The sequence below is a fragment of the Homo sapiens genome, chromosome 1 (assembly GCF_000001405.40).
Source record: "Homo sapiens chromosome 1, GRCh38.p14 Primary Assembly".
Taxonomy (NCBI): Eukaryota; Metazoa; Chordata; class Mammalia; order Primates; family Hominidae; genus Homo; species Homo sapiens.
In genome coordinates this window covers 35,968,073-35,987,629 of record NC_000001.11, presented here as the reverse complement: position 1 = coordinate 35,987,629, position 19,557 = coordinate 35,968,073, and the positions used below count along the sequence as shown (strand labels likewise).

Genomic DNA, 19,557 nt, shown 5'->3' with positions numbered 1-19,557 from the left:
CTAAAAGGATCCAAAATCTTGAAATTGGTGTGTATTTGTCCCATCTGTTTTATAATTTTACTTTATTTGTATGTACCTAGTACATACTTTTGTTCTAAGTTTATATAAATAATAACATATCCTTTTGCTTTTTTTTTGAAACAGAGTCTTACTCTGTTGCCCAGGCTGGAGTGCAGTGGCGTGATCTCGGCTCACTGCAACCTCCGTCTCCTGGGTTCAAGAAATTCTCCTGCCTCAGCCTCCCTAGTAGCTGGGATTACAGGCACACGCCACCATGCCAGGCTAATTTTTTTTTTTTTTCTGAGACAGAATCTTGTTCTGTCGCCCAGGCTGGAGCGCAGTGGCATGATCTCGGCTCGCTGCAACCTCTGCCTCCTGGGTTCAACTGATTCTCCTGCCTCAGCCTCCCGAGTAGCTGGGACTACAGGTGCGTGCCACCACGTCTGGCTGATTTTTATATTTTTAGTAGAGATGGGGTTTCACCATGATGGCCAAGCTAGTCTTGAACTCCTGACCTCAAGTGATCCACCTGCCTTGGCCTCCCGAAGTGCTAGGGTTACAGGCATGAGCCACCGTGCCTAGCCCCTTTTGCTGTTTACTCACCCCCAACATTTTCTTTCCTTTTTTTTTTTTTGAGACGGAGTCTTACTCTGTCGCCCAGGCTGGAATACAGTGGTGCAATCTCAGCTCACTGCAACTTCTGCCTTCTGGGTTCAAGTGATTCTCCTGCCTCAGCCTCCTAAGTAGCTGGGATTACAGATGTGCACCATCACGCCTGGTTAATTTCTGTATGTTTAGTAGAGACAGGGTTAAGCCATGTTGGCCAGGCTGGTCTCGAACTCCTGACCTCAAGTGATCCACCCACCTTGGCCTCCCAAAGTGCTGGGATTACAGGTCTGAGCCACTAGGCCCAGCCCATTTTTTTTTTCTTTTTTCTTTTCTGAGGCAGAGTCTCAGTCTGTTGCCTAGACTGGAGTACAGAGGTGTGATCTCAGCTCACTGCAACCTCCACCTCCTGGGTTCAAGTGATTCTCATGCCTCAACCCCCAAGTAGCTGGGATTATAGACGTGCACTACCACACCTGGCTAATGTTTGTATTTTACGTAGAGATGGGGTTTTACCATGTGGACCAGGCTGGTCTTGAACTCCTGGCCTCATATGATCCGAAGGCCTCTGCCTCCCAAAGTGCTGGGATTATAGGCATGAGCCATGATGTCTGGGTACAACATTATTTTAATAATTCACATTGATACATATAGATCTGGTTCATTTATTTAACTGTTATGTAGTACACCACAATATTATGTAACTATTTACGTGCTGTTTATTCATTCTGCTACTGACAGGAATTTAGGCTGTTTCCAATTTTCTGCTATTACATATAATGTTTCAAGCACACATGCAAGATATCTCTTTATGGGTTTTAAGTTATGCAATTTCATCTTTACTTCATCTCTTCTAGTTGAGAATTGCTCTCCGGGGTAGTTGTACCAAATGGTACTACTACAAACAATGTGTGAGAGTTCCTTTTACTTCATCCTCACCAACATTTGGTATTTCATAAGATTTTTCTTTTCACCTTGCACTTTTTGCAAATCATAAGGCTTTTTAATTTTACAAATCTGATGCGTAGAAAATGGTAACACTGATTTCACTTGCAAGTTCTTGATTATTAATGAATGAGAATCTTTTCATGTGTTTACTGGCTATATGCATTTCCTATTTTGAGAACTACCTATTTTTCAATTTATCTGTTCTTATATTTTGTAAAGTTCTCAGTTATATGAGTTACAAATTTTCTAATGTTTTTAACTTTATTGTTTCTTTTGCGATACACAAGTTTTAAATTTTGGTCAAGTTTATCAGTATTTTCCTTTGCAGTTTATACTTTGTACTTTGTTTGGTGTTAGGAACATTCTCTCATTTTTATCCTAAAAGAATTTTGAAGATTTGCTTTTCATATTTGGGATATAATTCACCTAGAAATAAATTTTGTGTCTAATGTAAGATGGATCTAATTTTTTTAAAGTTAAACTGTGTAAACACAATTTATTAAATATTCTACTCTTTCCCTACTGATCTGAAACACTACATCAGATATTTACAGTTTCCATAAACACATATGTGGCTCGTTTCTAGACTCTGCTTCATTAATCTGCCTGTTCCTGCACCTGAAGCCATGTGGTATAACTGTTACAGTTTTATAGGAAGTAGGGCAATTTCTGCTTTATTTTTCTTTAAAATTCTATTGGTTTTTCTTAGTCACTTATTCTTCCATATAAATCTTAATATCGACTTATCAAGTGTTATACTATACCCTATTGGAATTTTATTTTATTTGTTTTTTGAGACAGGTTCTAATTCTGTTGCCCAGGCTGGAGTACAGTGGTGAGATCACAGTTCACTGCAGCCTCGACTTCTGGGCTCAAGCGATTCTCCCAACTGAGCCTCTTGAGTAGCTGGGACTACAGTCACACACCTCTACGCCTGGCTAATTTTTTTGTCTTTTTTTAGCAATAGGGTTTCACCATGTTGGTCAGAACTCCCAGGCTCAAGCAATCCTCCCACCTTGGCCTCCCAATGTGCTGGAAATACTGGCATACCCACCGTACCTGGCCCCCTATTGGAATTTTAATTAAAACTATATTTATAGATTAATAAGGACAATGTGTTTCATTAAATTTTCTTAGATCTTTCAATAAAGTTTTATAATATCTTAGAGACCTCAGAAATCGTTTATTCCTGAGTACCTCATTTTCAATCCAAACTCTTGATCTCATTATACTTGTTAAGCTCAGCTAAGATATCACATACTACTACAAATATTTCTCTAATTTTTCAGGCTCATTTGGATGCTCCTCCTCCTATGCTCTTGGATTTATTTATTCATTCTTTGTTTAATATGACCAAAAGTTGTGCTGGGCATAGAGGGTACACTGGTGAATAAAATGACAATCCCTTCATGGAGCTTTCGTTCTAACAGGAGAGACAGAACAATAAACACCCATAATTCAAGGTGATACATGCTATTATAGGGGAATTACACTGTGCTATGGGAATACAGAAGAGAAATACCTAACTCAGACTTGGGGGATGGCTGGATTGGGGGAGAAGGGTGTCAAACACTGCTTCTCAAGGAAGTAACATGTAGACTGAAACCTGTAAGAAGAACAGAAGTTAGCAAACACAATAGTGACTAAAAATCATAGCACTGATATCCTTGTCTCTTGATTTTATTGAAAAAGCTCTCATTGTTTAACTGTGAAATCATCTACTTTTTGTTTCTTTTTTTAGAGATAGGGGTCTCACTCTGTTGCCCAGGCTGGAGTACAGTGGCTCAATTACAGCTCACTGCAGCCTGCAACTCCTGGGGCTTAGGCTATCCTCCTGCCTTAGCCTCCCAAGTAGCTGGGACTACAGGCGTGAGCCCCTGTGCCCAGCTCATTTATTTTTTGGATATGTTTCCCCTCTTGGCTTTTTTGACATCATATTTGGTGTCTCATATTGCCTTGTATAATCATTACTTGCTCACTAGTTCTTTTTTTCTTAAATGCTAGTATTCCTCGACGGCTTTATCCTCCTCTTTCCTGTTTCAATCTAAATACTATTCCTAAAGAGTTTTTCCACTTCTATAGTTTCAAATATGGATTTACATACTGAAGAGTCCCAACACTCTTACTTTCAGCTCCCACCATTATAGATTTTCATACCTAAATTTCTAAATATACACTAGATATGTCTATCTATATGTTCCATAGAATCCTCAAGCTTTGGACATGTTAACATTGATACATGGTGTATACTGCCAACTAACCAGCAATAGCAGATCTACCTCCATATTCAGTTGACAGTACCACCATTCATACCTGGCAGAAAACTCAGAGTCAGTACTCTGAATGTACATTGGAGAGTATGACCTTCTTGGGAGCCAGTTTACATTATGGCAGTCACTGTACCTGAAAGTTGTTTCGAGGGCTGAATAATCACAGAAAATTTCAGACCAGGTGTGGAGGGTTGTTTTTCTTTTTATTTATTTATTTTTGAGATGGGGCCTTGCTTTGTCACTGCTGGAATGCAGTGGCACAATCATGGCTCACCACAGCCTTGATATCCTGGGCTCAAGCCACCCTCCCATCTCAGCCTCTCTAGCAGCTGGGACTACAAGTACGCACCACACCTAGCTAATTTTTTTCTTTTTCTTTTTTTTTTTTTTTTTTTTGGTAGAGATCAGGTCTCACTATGTTGTTCAGCCTGATCGCAAACTCCTAATCTCAAGTGATCCTCCCACTTTGGCCTCCCAAAGTGCTGGGATTACAAGTGTAAGCCATCATGGCAGGTGTTGTTTTTAATGTGTTAACTTGCTAGGCTACCAGCTGCCATTTGTTTAATCAAACACTAATCTAGGTGTTGCTATGAAGGTATTTTGTAGATGTAATTAAAATCCATAATCTGTTGACTTTAAGTAATGGAGATTATCCTGAATAATGTGGATGGGCCTGATTCAATTAGGTGAAAGGTCTTAAAAGTAGGGCTGAAGCTTCCCTGAGAGCAAGAAATTCCACTTATAGATAACTGCTTCAGCCCATGCCTGAATTTCCCTGCCCTTCCTGACAGCCTGCCCCCAAAATTTCAGACTTGCCTAGCTAGCCCCTACAATTGCATAAACTCTCTCTCTATACTTCGTACTGGTTCTGCTTCTCTAGGTTCTGAACCTTGACTGATATGCCAGGCTTGTAGTTTATTTGCAAAAACAATTCTTTCAAAAATCTAGTAAAGCTCTGGTCTATTTTTTTCCAATCCGTTCCATGTACCAGTACTACACCCAAAGTTTTTTTTTTCTGGACATGGTTCTTAAACCTATTTTTTCAGCTTAATCCTTCCTCTCCATCCCACATTAGACCATCACCATCTCTTACCTGAACTAGTGATTGAAAAGCCTCCTAACTGGCTTCTCAGATTAGTTTTTTCTCCTCTATCTATTCTCCACACTGCTGCCAGAGGTCTCTTTCTGGAAAACAAATATGATCATGTCACTATCCTTCTTAAAAACCTTTGAAGTATCCCTATCTAAAGGATAGAGAGAAGTTTTCCTATTTCATTGATTTGTTTTTATCTTTTATTTCTTTCTATTCTCTTTGCATTTAATTTTCTGTGATTTTTCTAACTTGTTGAGAATGAATGCTTATGTCACTGATGCTTTTTTCTTTTAAAATCGGCATTTCAAGTTTTAAATTCTCTCTAAGCATTGCTTTAGCTGATCATACCAGTTCTGATATGTATTGTATTCATTGTCCTTCAGTTCAAAATTTTCTCTGTGATTTCTTTAAACAAGGGGTTATTTAGAAATCATTTCTTTATTTTTTAATAGAGATGGGGTCTCACTATGTTGCCCAGGCTGGTCTCAAACTCCAAGGCTCAAGTGATCCTCCCACCTTGGCCTCCCAAAGTGCTAGGATTACAGGTGTGAGCTACCACACCCAGCCTAGAAATTATTTCTTAATAATTTTCAAAGCTGGACTTCAAGTTCTAGTAGGAACATAACAGCAATTTAGTTCCAAATTTTCCCATCTTTCTCCTAGAACCTGTACAGAGCAACAAAAACAATGTTAAAAACAAAAAATACCATATATCTTTAGTGAAACTAGGGGATAATAAAAACCTAAAAATGCCAACTTCTAAGTAAATATGACCCAAAGTACTTGAGACTAAAAGAAGCCACATCTGAGCATGAGAGAATGACAAGAAGTATAAAGGAATCTGGTGGGGGAATAGCACATATTTACTCCCAGAAAGAAAAGAATCTATACCAAGCGGGAACTACAATGTTTAGAACTGAGATTAAATGGGGGATTCTCAGAAGGAGGTAAGGAAAGGAGGTGTAGAAAGTGGCAGAACAATAAGTGGAGGGTGGTTTGGAAGTGACAGATCTCAGAAAGGACCACCCTTTTACAAGTGAGGCATGCTCTTTTGTAATTTCTTCTTTTGAAGTAGTTTCGAACTTACAGAAAAGTTATAAGAATAGTACAAAAAACTCCTGTATACCTGTCACAAATTCTTTAATTGTTAACATTTGAGGCAGGCAATTTAAAGGGTAGGAGGTGCATCCCTTGGTAGCAGAACTAGTCAGGACCTGGGGAACTCATGGCTGGTAGTTCATATTACTTAAACCCCTTAAGTTACTGAGAGGCATAGGAGATGTGGCTGCATTTTGAAGAAAGAGTCCACCAGAACAATGGAGGAGAGAGGCCTTGAGCACAGAAACCTGGAAAACTATCTTGCTCCGAAGGTGTTCCTAATGTTCCTAACACCCTTAAGTCCCTTCTAACAGATGGTTTGGGAAACTCATCTCATGCCAATATAAGCAACAAAAAAGTGGTAAGTATACATACAATAATACCATAGAAAAAAATGTAAAAAGGCACCGCGACATTTCTGACAAAGAAAACTCAACAGACAATATCATCACAAAGCAGAGGAAAATTAAAACCCTACTTTTTACTCACACTGAAAAATTCCTAATGCAGTTATGAAGAAAAAGTTCAGAGGAGAAATTTAGAAACTCAAGGAGCAACTAACCAGTCAACAGGAGTTGTAGTGAAACAAGCATGGCAGAACTCAGAAAAGAAATGGGAGAAAAAGAATTTTAAGAATTAAAAAGATGAAGACTAAAATGCAATGAGCACATGGTAAAAATATACAACACCAAAGGCACAGTAAGAAGCATGTAGGATAGAAATTTTTTAAAAGTAAATAAAATGATGGATATAAAACTGACCCAAAATGGTCAACTAAGAAAACATCTAGTAATTTTACTGATGTCACTTAATAAAATAATTTCTAAATTATTTGGTATTTGGAAGAAATACTTTCAGCAATCACACACAAAAAAGCACACTCCTTCTAAGAAAAATAAAATCAAGCTGGCATCATACTTCTCTATTGAACAGTCAATGCCAGAAGACAGTGGAAAAATACCTACAAGGTACTCAAGGAAAAAGTGTGAGCCAACAATTCCACATCTAGCCAAACAGTCCTTCAGGAATAAGGCTACAGATAACTCAGGCCTTATTCATATGAGCATTTCTTGAAGAAACAACTTGAGGACAAACTGAAACCAACAAATGACCAGAAAAATTTCAGCAAAAGGACTGGCAGTGAGCAACAATACATTTAATTGCAGATTTAAGATTGAAAACAAATGGAATGAAACTGTTACATGGTCTAAGAATGTAGGAATTCAAATCAATGAATATATACAAATGGATGTTAAGAGTAGAATATATGAAAAGTAGAATAAGCTCAATGACTGCACCTCATGTGCAACAGGTAGGAGTCAAAGTTGAAAGTCAATCAGTAAAAACTTAAGCAACATGACAGAATAAAATTATAAAGAGCAATAAAATAATACTATATTGGCTAAAACTAGTAGAAAGAAGGGAAGAGAATAAAGCTAATGTAATTGTTACTCAATTAAGGGAAACAAAAGACTGCTTTAAAACAGAGGAAGATAGGTATCATATGAAGGTATAAGTATAAAGATAACCACTGGGGGGAAAAATCTTCCTAAGATGAGGACTACCATTTAAAAAGCACAGAAAACACAACACTCAAAGTTTCAAAATATATACAAATGTAAAAAATGGCATAAAATAATTTTACAAAACCATGACCAATGGTTGTGACTTGACAGAAAGATATGTCCTTCCTATCTATATCTGGCTTAATTCATCCACCAAACAGAAAAAAAGCTTTAAACTGACCCACAAAGCAAACCATTCTATGCTGTCATCAAGATATACCTGAAAAAAAAAGTTAAAGGATAGGATAAAGTTCACAAAAGCATGAAGTGCAATCTTTTTATTAGATAATGTAGAATTTTGGTCAAAAAGTACAAAAAGAAAGTCACTTATATAAAGGTTATAATTCATAACGAAAACAGATATGAATATATATGCTCCTAATACAGTAGCAACATTCAGAAAATGGAAATTACAGGAGATAAAAGAAGAAACAGAAAGATATTAATAATAGGAAATTTATTTATCCTAGTCTGAGAGAACAAAAAACAAAACTAAGGAAATAAATGACATAAGCAACATAATCAAACTGGTAGCTCTGATGGATATTTCACTCTAAACTAATATATGAATATATCTTATTTTCATATAGCCATAGAACTATCACAAAAATTGACCGTATATTGGGCTACAAAAAATACCTCTAGAAACTCTAAAAGGAAAAATACAAACCACATTTTTTTTTTTCTGAGAAGGAGTCTCATTCTGTCCCAAGGCTGGGGTGCAGCGGCGCGATCTCGGCTCACTGCAAGCTCCGCCTCCTGGGTTCACGCCATTCTCCTGCCTCAGCCTCCCAAGTAGCTGGGACTACAGATGCCCGCCACCACGCCCGGCTAATTTTTTGTATTTTTAGTAGAGATGGGGTTTCACCGTGTTAGCCAGGATGGTCTCAATCTCCTGACCTCGTGATCCGCCCGCCTCGGCCTCCCAAAGTGCTGGGATTACAGGCATGAGCCACCGCGCCCAGCCACAAACAACATTTTTTAACAACACAATGAAACTAGAAATTCACAACAAATCCAGAAAACAAAAAGATCTTCAATCTGAAAATTTGAAAAGTCTCTCAAACAATATTTCAAGCACAGAGGAAATACAAATGAAATTTGTGGAGTTTCTAGAAAATAATATTATGTATTTCTAGTTTCTAGAATATAATAAAAATACTACATATTAGAAGCTTTGTAATACGGCTAAAACAGTGATCACCAGAAAAATAATTGTTTTAAATATTTCCACCAACAAAATGAAAGTACATGTTACTAATCTAGCTAAAATAGATAGAAAAATAACTTTTAAGAATAATTCCCATTGTCAGCAAGGCCTTACTTTCCTCAACATCAGTATTGTGTCCTAATAACAGACCAGAAAACTGAGCCTCCAGAATCCCCAGGAAGCTGCTCTATCCTCAAAGAATAGTAAGACTGTTGTAACTTGCTCTGTCTGTAAACACACTTCAGGAAGGAAGAGGAAGTTGGCAGATATATTTTCAAATGATCTTCAACACAATTCTTGAGAGTTTTCTAGTGAGTTTAACGTTAATAAAAAAAAAAATTGTTTTCAGGCCAGATGCGGTGGCTCACGCCTGTAATCCCAGCACTTGGGAAGGCGGAGGGAGGCGGATCACCTGAGGTCAGGAGTTCGAGACCAGCCTGACCAACATGGTGAAACCCCATCTCTACTAAAAATACAAAAAAATTAGCTGGGTGTCGTGGCATGCACCTGTAATCCCAGCTACTTGGGAGGCTGAGGCAGGACAATCGCTTGAACCAGGGAGGCGGAGGTTGCAGTGAGTCGAGATCGAGCCACTACACTCCAGCCTGGGTGACAAGAGCAAAACTCAAAAAAAATTGTGTCAAGAAATTTGGGTACCTTACATCTCTAGAAAGAGTTCATCAAGATTTTATTTCATTGATTCAAGTATTTAAGTTTAAGTACTAAATATACACCTGAGCTAGAATAATAGAAAATATTCTTTATTATAGGTTTCAGTAATTCATTAATTGGGAAGACTATGTTACCAAAAAAGAAGTCAGGGCATAGGAAAAAAGGTTAAGGATTAAACTACTTAATTAAACAATCAGCATTCATTAACTATACTTTGTTCTTAATCAGAAAGCACTCAATAAATACATTTTGTTTTCTAAAATAAATATTTATGATGCCATACCGTCTTTTTTTTAGTTTTTTGATAAGAAGTAATAGATGCTTATTGTTGAAAGCTTGAAAAAGATGGAGAAAAATAAATACCACTGAATTTCACTACCTGAAAAAAAAGTAAAAAGAACAAAGCATACATATGCAAAATAACAGACTGGGAAAACCACAAAAATACACAGAATTTCAAAAACTAATAGAAACTAGCTGGGCACGGTGGCACATGCCTGTAATCCCAGCACTTTGGGAGGCCAAGGCAGGCAGATCTCTTGAGACCAGGAGTTTGAGACCAGCCTGGGCAACATGGTGAAATCTTGTCTCTACAAAAAATACAAAAATTAGCCAGGTGTGGTAACATGTGTCTGTAGTCCCAGCTGCTCAGGAGGCTGTAGTGGGAAGATCGCTTGACCCTGGGAGGTGGAGGTTGCAGTGAGCCAAGATTACACCACTGCACTCCAGCCTGGGTGACAGAGCAAGACCCTGTCTCAAAAAAAAAAAAAAAAAAATCATAATAACGATAGAAACTACTTTGTAAAACTCTGTATAATTAAATTACATATGAATAAAATAATTTTCCAGTAAAATGTGAGCTACCAAAAGTGAACCTAAACAGCCTGAACAGACTTTTTTTTTTAATTAAAAAAAAATTTTTATGGGTACATACTAGATGTATATATCTATGGGTTACACGAGCTTTTGATACAAGCATATAATGCATAATAATCAGATCAGGGTAAATGGGGTATCCATTACCTCAAGCATTTATCCTTTCTTTATGTTACCAACAATCCAATTATATTTTTAGTTATTTTTAATTGTACGATAAATTATTAGACTGATTTTCACAAAATAAATGAGGGAAGTTTTAAAACAGCTACCTAGCAAACCAAACCAAACCAAACAAAAAACGGCAGGTCACAAGGTTTTATAGGGGAATTCTACGAAATCATACAAGAGCTGATAATATCAATACTATTTTAAAACTGTTATACATTTTAGAAAATGGAAAACTTCTGAATTTTTTAGGAAATAATACCAAAACTTGACAAAGATTGTACAAAAAAGGAAGGCTGCAGATTAATATGACTTCTGCATGTTAATTTATAAAAGGAAAGTATTAGCAAACAGAATCCAGCATCAATTAAAAGAATCTAGGAGTCCTGGTTTGGTTCAATGTTTGTTAAAAATAAGAGAAATATCACATCATCAGCTCCATAGATGCTGAAAAGGCATCTGACAAAATTTAACACATACTCTTGATAAACGTACTTAATAAGAAACAGATATTCCTTAATATGACAATGTATACATACAATGCTTAATGCTTCTAGAGCAAGAAAGAAAAAGGACGCACATTAATCACTACTATTTAATCCTACCCTGTCTAATTAGTCTATATAATCTGATAAAAAAAATTAGAGGTATAAAAATCCAAAGGAAGAGGTAAACTTATCACTAGTTGCAGGTGATGATTATAACCTAGAAACCCCAATAAAATCGCTTGAAAAAATACCACAAACAATAATGGAATTCAATAACACAGAAAGAGAGAAAGTATACAGAAATCAAAAGCCTGAATATATATAAGCAATTACCAGTTAGTATCTATAAACCCATTTAATAGCAACAAAAAGGAGAAAATATCCTGGAATAACAAGAAATGGCCTGGGTGCAGTGGCTCACGCCTGTAATCCCAGCACTCTGGGAGGCTGAGGTGGGTGGACCACCTGAAATCAGGAGTTCGAGACCAGCCTGACCAACATGGTGAAACCCCATCTCTACTAAAAATACAAAATTAGCTGGGTGTGGTGGTGCATGCCTGTAATCACAGTTGCTTGGGAGGCTGAGGCATGAGAATTGCTTGAACCTGGGAGGCGGAGGTTGCTGTGAGCCGAGATCACTCCATTGTACTCCAGAGCGAAACTCTGTCTCAAAAAAAAGAAAGAAAAAAGAAAAGAAAGAAAGAAAAAAAAAAAGAAATGTGCAAAATTTATGTGAAGCTTTAAGATCTCTTGAAAATGAAAGTAATCTTAAACAAATAGAAAGACATAGTATATTCTTTGACAGAAAAGACAACACCTTAAATATGCCAATTTGTCCTAACTTAATTTATAAATCTAATAGGATCTCAATAAAAATAACAATCTGTCCTCTCCCACTCACTGGATCTAAACAAGGAATTTCTAAAGCTTATACATAAGAATGGTCTGGAAAACCCTGAAAAGAGAAAAATGGGACTAGTCCTATCAGATATTAAAAGTCATAAAAGAAATGACTGACCAATACATATGTATGTGTGCACACACCAACATACAAACAAACTTCTGCATGGCAAAAACAAAAACAACAACAAAAAAAACATCACAATACCAAAGGTCAAAAGACAAATAGCAACCTAGGTAAAATATCTGCAACTCATGACAGATGAACAGCTAACTTCCTTAATTTAGAAAGCATTCTCAGTAAATAAGAAGACGAAAAATCCAATAGAAAAAAAAGGGCAAAAGATATAAACTAACAGTTCATTAAAAAAGAAACACAAGTGGCCCTTATATTTGTGAAAAGGTAGTCAAATACAAATTAAGAAGACACAAGAAAACTGTTTCTTGCAAATCTGATTGAAGAAAATCTAAGAGTTTGATGATTCTAGTGGCAAAGATATAAGGAAACTGGTACTCTCATTCATTGATGCAAAATATTTACTATCTCTATGGAGTGCAATCTGGCAACAATGATACAAATTACAAATATTAATACATTTGCCCTTAACTCATCAGTCTAACCGCCAGGAATGTATCTTACAGACTTATCTTAATATACATAAAATGATGTAAAATAGAAAAGTTAAAAATAACCCTAGTATACATCTAAAGAAAACTGGTTAAATATATCCCCTCCTCAATCATATATTACACAATGGTAGGTGCAGCTGAAAAAATGAGGAAACTATACCCTAATCTGGAAGGATCCAGGGATCCTTGGAGGAATGTCTAATTTCAGGTACTGGGCAGGAAATATAAGATGAGCAAGGAATATCCTGCTGTGCCCGAAAGCAAGAAAGCTTTCAAACATTTACTAATTTTCAATAGGACACTGAGCTTTTCCACAGAAAAATTCCACCTAATGCAAAAAGAATAACAGAAAAATTACCAGTTCGTAATCCCTAGTGAAATAAATAATTTGGGCCACAACGATCAGTGAACAGAACATTAGCAATTCAAAGGTTAATTAAGAAATTTACAATGGAGAGATCTCTGAATCTACTGATTAATCTCTGAACCTAGAGACTGATTTTTGAATCACTAAAATTGGGACCACTAGATACTGTGTTTCCTAATATGACACGACATAAAGCACTTAAGCATTTTGAACCAGAATGGAATGAAACTTCTAAGCTAACTTTCATTTTCAGAAAAAACAGGGGATAGAGGAACAAGGTAATAACACAAGAAAACAAAAAGACAAAATCAGATTTGAACATATTCTACAGAACAAGTGACCCAGTTTTTGTAAAATGTCAATGGCATAAAGAAATAAGAAAACAGGAAAGGAAATGGGACTACTAGATGGCAAAAGGCACAATAATCAAATGTGATGTGTGGATCTTGTTTGGATTCTGATTAGAACCAGCTAACAAGAAAAAGGCATATTTCAGACAATCAGGGAAATCTGATTGTGGACAGGTATTAGAGGGTAAAAATAAATGCTTGTTTATAATTTTCCTACATATGATAATGCCATTGCTGCTATAAGAAAATATCCATAGTTTTAGAGGTACACATTGAAGTAATAGGGATAAAATAACATGCTGTCTGGAATTAGATTTAAAAACACTACTGTAGAGGAAGAAATGTACTCGGATTACGCAAAGGTAGAAAAATTCTGACAATCTGAGTAATGGCTACCTATGTGGTAGTTCATAATACTACTCTCTCTGTTTTTACATAAGCTTGAAAATATTTTGTAAGAAAACACCTAAAAACAAGAATGCAATTAGCATCACATTAAGACCAGCAGTGGGTATAACATCTGGGGGTCACCATGCCCAACAGAATTATCTTTCTTAAAATATATATTTCATAATAAAATGTTGGCTTAGAGTTAAAAGGGCAAAAGTGAGTTATAATAGAAGATTGCTCAGATAATCATCAGGGCTTTTAAATCTGTCTTCATGTGCTTGCTTCATGTTTAGCAGCATTCCAAGGTAAATTCTACAGGCTTTCTAAATGAAATGTAATAAAAATATAAAGGTTTCTCCAGTAGATCATAATACATGTCCAAATATTACTTCGAGACACCAGTATGTATAATTATATATAAAATTTATGTACACACATCATACAGAAATCCACCACCCAATACAGAATATGGCTTTAGTTCCCTTACCATCGATATTAAGCATCATTTTCCACATGGCAGGCCGAACAGACTGATGGAATCCAAACCACACTTCCCTGCCCCCTCCCAGAGGGTGGTCATATCCTTCTGGAGCGGAGAAAAATGAACGCCCCACAGGTGTGTATCTACAAAAATTAAAATGGCATGTTCAATCCTTTCCTTCTCATGCAAGTATTTAAATCTGCAGAAAAGGGGAGACTAGAGCACAATTAACATAATGATGCTTATCATTATGAATATATGAAACTAAACATGTTCCAAATTTGAGAAAGCAAAAAGTATCCACTCTAAATGGAAAAAAATCTACTTAAATTTTCCTTTCTCAAAATTGTTGGTTGAAATAAGAATAAATTTTATTTAAAATAATTTCTTAAAAATAGGTTTTAAAAAGTTAACAGTTCCGACCTTAAAAATGTTAACAAGTAAATAATTATTGAACAAAAAGGTATTTATATAAATGTGTTTGCAAGACATACTATTTTTCTTTAAAAAAAAACATACTGAGTCAGGTGTGGGGGCTCACACCTGTAATCCGAGCACTTTGGGAGGCTAAGGTGAGAGGATTACTTGAGTCCAGGAGTTTGAAACCAGCCTGGGCAACATAGGGAGATTCCATCTCTACAAAAAAAAAAAAAAAAAAAAATTTTTTTTTAATTAGTCAGGCATGATGGTGCATACCTGTGGTCCCAGCTACTCAGAAGGCTGAGGTAGGAGGATTGCTTAGGCCTGGGAGGTTGAGGCTGCAGTGAACCATGATTGTGCCACTGCACTACAGCCTGGGTGACAGAGTGAGACCATGTCTCAAAAAAAACCCAACCAAACAATAAAAAATACACGGGTACACATGCGCTCACACACAGGAGCATACCCTACACATGTGAGGTCCTAGGGTTATTGAAAAAAAGCAATTCAACACAATTTGATATTGTTGTATAAACAGTGAAATTACTTTTAAAACAAGATAACTAAATAAATACATCTGAAAATAGATCTGTTAAGACTTTTAGATCCTAAGAGAAAGGGTGAGATATTTTTCTATAAAATTATTCATGAGACTAGCTAAGCTAATGACGTATAGTTACTTGCAAAAGCCAGATAATTTTCTGTAACGTACTCCTGTCAATGAATTTGTATGGATGCTATTCTTGTTCAACATTTCAGTTGAACAATCAAAATATATGACAAATAAAGGTTTAACCAAGGGAAGCCTGCACAATTCATTCTTGGGAGTTTAAAATCTAAAGAGAAAAAAAGCAGAAGCACCCACTTCATGGAGGGCAGATGTCGTAGCACCACATCAACGGCATGGACAGGGTTAGTGCTGATTGGCTTGTCTAATTCCAGTGGCTCAGGCAAGGTCCGTCCTGTCAGTACTTCATGCAGTAGGTGCCAACTCACCCGAGAGACAAATTTGATTGACACCTTGAAAGGTCGATCTTTTCCACCTTCCCCAGGTAAAGTAACGTCTAAATCTACCTGTTGATGGGAAAAGAGTCAACTGGTAAATGTTGAAAAAGATAAATACAATTATTTTAGATTTAACTTATAAAAATATCTAAGAGAAAACATGGCAAAAATAAAGTCAATAGACTAAAATATACCATTTTTTTTTGTAGATAAAATTTAAATAACATAGTTACTCGTGCCAGCATTATGTGTCATTGCAAAATACTGGAAACTACCCTAAATGCTCCAACATCTATGCGGCTATGAAAAAAGAATGAGGAAAATCTCTTGAAACTGCCATGGAATAAATTTCCAAGCTATACTATTAAGTGACAAAAGCAAAGTACAAAAGATTACAAATATTATGACATCTTTTGTGTAAGAAAGGAGGAAAATATTCACATATCTGCTTACTTCTGCAAAAAGAAACACAGGAAGCATGAACCAGAAACAAAGAAACTAGTTACTTTCAAAGGATGGGAGGGAATGGACTGGAAAAAATAAGGACAGAACAATTCTGAGTATATGTTTTGGTATACTTTTGAAATTTGGAAGCATATTAAAGTTCTACATATTAAAAAAAAGAAAAAAAAAAGGCCAGGCGCAGTGGCTCATGCATGTAATCCCAGCACTTTGGGGGGCTGAGGCAGGCTGATCACTTGAGGTCAGGAGTTCAAGACCAGCTTGGCCAACATGGTGAAACCCTGTCTCTACTAAAAATACAAAATTAGCTGGGTGTGGTGGTGCATGCCTGTAATCCCAGCTACTCGGGAGGCTGAGGCACGAGAATCATTTGAACTCAGGAGGCAGAGGGTGCAGTGAGCCAAGATCACACCACTGTGCTCCAGCGTGGGCAACAGAGTGAGGCTCAAAAAAAAAATAAATAAATAAAATAAATATATATTATATATTTATAAATTTATAATTTATAATATAAATTTATATATTATTTATAATTTATAATATAAATTTATATATTATTTATAATTTATATATTTATAATAAAAAATATATATATATATATTTAGGCTGGGTATGGTGGCTTACTCCTGTAATCCCAGCACTTTGGGACGCTGAGGCAGGAGGACTGCTTGAGCCAGGGAATTTTAAACCAACCCAGGCAACAGAGCAAGACCTAGTCTCTACAAAAAATTAAATTAGCCAGGTGTGGTGGTGCACACCTGTGGTCCTAGCTGCTTGAGAGGCTGAGGCAGTAGGATCGTTTGAGCCTGAGAGGTTGAGGCTGCAGTGAGCTGTGAGTGTGCCAATGAACTCCAGCCTGGGTTACAGAGCAAGACCCTGTCTAAATAAATAAATAAATAAACAAAGGGAGGGAGGGAAAAAATTAAAACAGAATATCATAAACAGAATCAAATGAACCCAAATAAATTTCAAATAAATAACATAACCACATTGAAAAAAAAGAAAAAGGAAGCTCTAATTCAAGTAACTCTTGAACACAGTATGTATACTGACAATAGTCTTAATTCTAGGGGTAGAGAAAGGGTGGATTTAGAAGAATTGCATACAAAATAAAGCCTTGAATCATTAGTAGGTTTGTTTTCTCACAAACTATTTTATATGTACTGTAGGACTGAGCAAATGAGAAGGAGTGGTGATGTTTTGAGGAGCCAGGAATCTAACTAAAGAAGAAAGATACAAATATGAAATGGAGTGAGGAAAGGAAGAATCCCATGAGGCACGGACTAGAATTGGAAGAATCGGGTGTGAACTCACGATTTCCTATATATATGTGTTAGATTTACCATACAAAGTGTAATATGTTTTTATTGTCCGTTTTATTTATTTATCTACTTATTTATAAATTTCCTACCTCTATCCATTGAAAGGGCTTAGAAGCACATATACCCCAGCAGCTGTGAACATACCAGTACCCAGATTTTCATTTCAAAATTGCATTTGCCAACTAAAAGAAACCAGAGATCCTCAGAGAAATGGTTAGTTGCAGGACTGCAGCAGAGAAAACATAAAATAAACCAGGAACATCCTGTGCCAGAAAGTAATGAAGTAGAGTCATGCACCACATAATGATTTTTGGTCCACAATGGACCCCATATACACGGTGGTCCCATTAGATTATAATGAAGCTGCCTTATACAGGCGTACCATTTAAACAATCTTTTACAATGTATTTTTACTGTACCTTTTCTATAGTTAGATACGTTTAGATACACAAATATTTACCATTGTCTTACAAGTGCCTACAGTATTCGGTATAGTAACATCCTATATAGGTTTATAGCAATAATAAACCATATTATATGGTGTATGTGTGTAGTAAGCTATACCATTCAGGTTTGCGTAAGTATACACTGTGATGATAGCACAATGACAAAATTGCCCAAGGACACATTTCGCAGAGCATATCCCCATTGTTTTAGGTGATGCAGGATTGTATTCCCCAAAAAGTGTCATTTCAAAAGGACACAGGAGTCAGCTTAAAAGAGTTCCCACTGGCCAAATCTGGGACAATCTGGGCAGTGAAATCAATAAATAGAGTAAAAGAAAATATACTCCCTTACAGCAGATTAATGAACATACGGAGAATGAATGACAGAATTAGAAAATCACCACTTCTACATAGTAATAATCCTTTCAAGCAAGAATAATCAATTGCCAAGCAAGAATAATCAAAATCCAATGAGCAACAGGATCCTTAAAAGTATCTCCCATTTCAAAATTAAAAACTTCTGTGTATCAACGGACACAACATAGTGAAAAGACAACCTGTGAAATGTAAGAAAATGTTTGCAAATTATATATCTGATAAGAAGTTAATGTCCAGAATATATATAGTTAATATCCAGAATACAGAAGTTAATATCCAGAATATATATAAAGAACTCCTACAATGGTATTGATCAGTTTAGCTAAAAAAAATAAAAAATCTAAAAATAAAGAACTCCTACAACTCACTGCCCAAAACCCAAAACAAACAACCCAGTTCAAAAAATGGGCAAACAACTTGACCACAGATTTCTCCAAAGAAGATATACAAATGGCCAATAAGCCTACAAAGTTATACTCAACATCACTAATTGTTGGGGGACATGCAAATCAAAACCACAATGAGATATCATCTCACGCCCATTAGGATGGTTACTATTAGAAAACGAACAAAAAAAAAAACAAAACAGAAAACAAGTGTTGGCATGGAAGTGAGAGTTTGGAACTCTTGTTCACTGTTGGTGGGAATGTAAAATGATGGAGCCATTCTGGAAAACAATACAGCAGATTCTCAGAAAATTAATAATTATCACATGACCTGGCAAATTTACTTCTGGGTATATATCCAAAGAACCGAAAGCAGAGTTCAATACTTTTACATCTATGTTCATAGCAGGATTATTTGCAATAGCCAAAAGGTGTCCATTGATGCATGAAGGGATTAACAAAATGTGTTACATACATACAATGGAATATTATTCAGCCTTGAAAAGGAGATTCTAACACATGAAACAATGTGGATAAATTGTGAAATAAGCCAGTCATAAAAAGACAAACAATCTATGATTTCACTTACATGAGGTACCTAGAATAGTCAAATTCAGAGACAGAAAGTACTATGGTGGTTGCCAGGGCTGAGGGGAGGGAGCAATGGATACTGTTTAATGGATATGGAGTTTCAGTTTTGAAAGATAAAGACAATTCTGGGGATGGAAGGTGGTAATAATTATATAACAATGTAAATGTGCTTAATACCACTGAAATATACCTTAAAAATGGTTAAGACGGTAAATTTTATGTTACATATGTTTTATCACAATTACAAAAAGAATCTCCCTACAAGATGCTTATTAACTACAAGGAGGAAAAGAATACCCCAATAGGAGAAAACTGGCAGACACCAATTTAATCAACTGACCAAAGTTAACATCACCAATAATCACCAATAATGGAACAAATACATACTGCGTGCTTCCTGATATGATGCACTGATAAGGAAAGAATGGTTATATA

The 19,557-nt window shown here is 36.1% G+C and overlaps 1 protein-coding gene across 8 annotated transcripts in view; it reads right to left on the bottom strand.

Moving 5' to 3' along the window:
- The window catches only part of AGO3 (argonaute RISC catalytic component 3), a 141,783-nt gene that overhangs the window by 84,871 nt on the left and 37,355 nt on the right, over nucleotides 1-19,557 (bottom strand). For 4 of the 8 annotated variants that reach the window (XM_017000523.3, XM_005270575.5, NM_024852.4 and 1 more), the window contains 2 exons: nucleotides 15,398-15,606; nucleotides 14,119-14,255 (listed from right to left, as the gene is read on the bottom strand). In XM_017000523.3, the coding sequence (XP_016856012.1) occupies nucleotides 14,119-14,255; nucleotides 15,398-15,606 (346 nt within the window). Of the gene's footprint in view, nucleotides 1-3,076; nucleotides 4,087-4,917; nucleotides 4,973-14,118; nucleotides 14,256-15,397; nucleotides 15,607-19,557 lie in introns of those variants that run through there. The other 4 variants (NM_177422.3, XM_017000526.3, XM_017000524.3 and 1 more) reach the window with 4 other exon arrangements.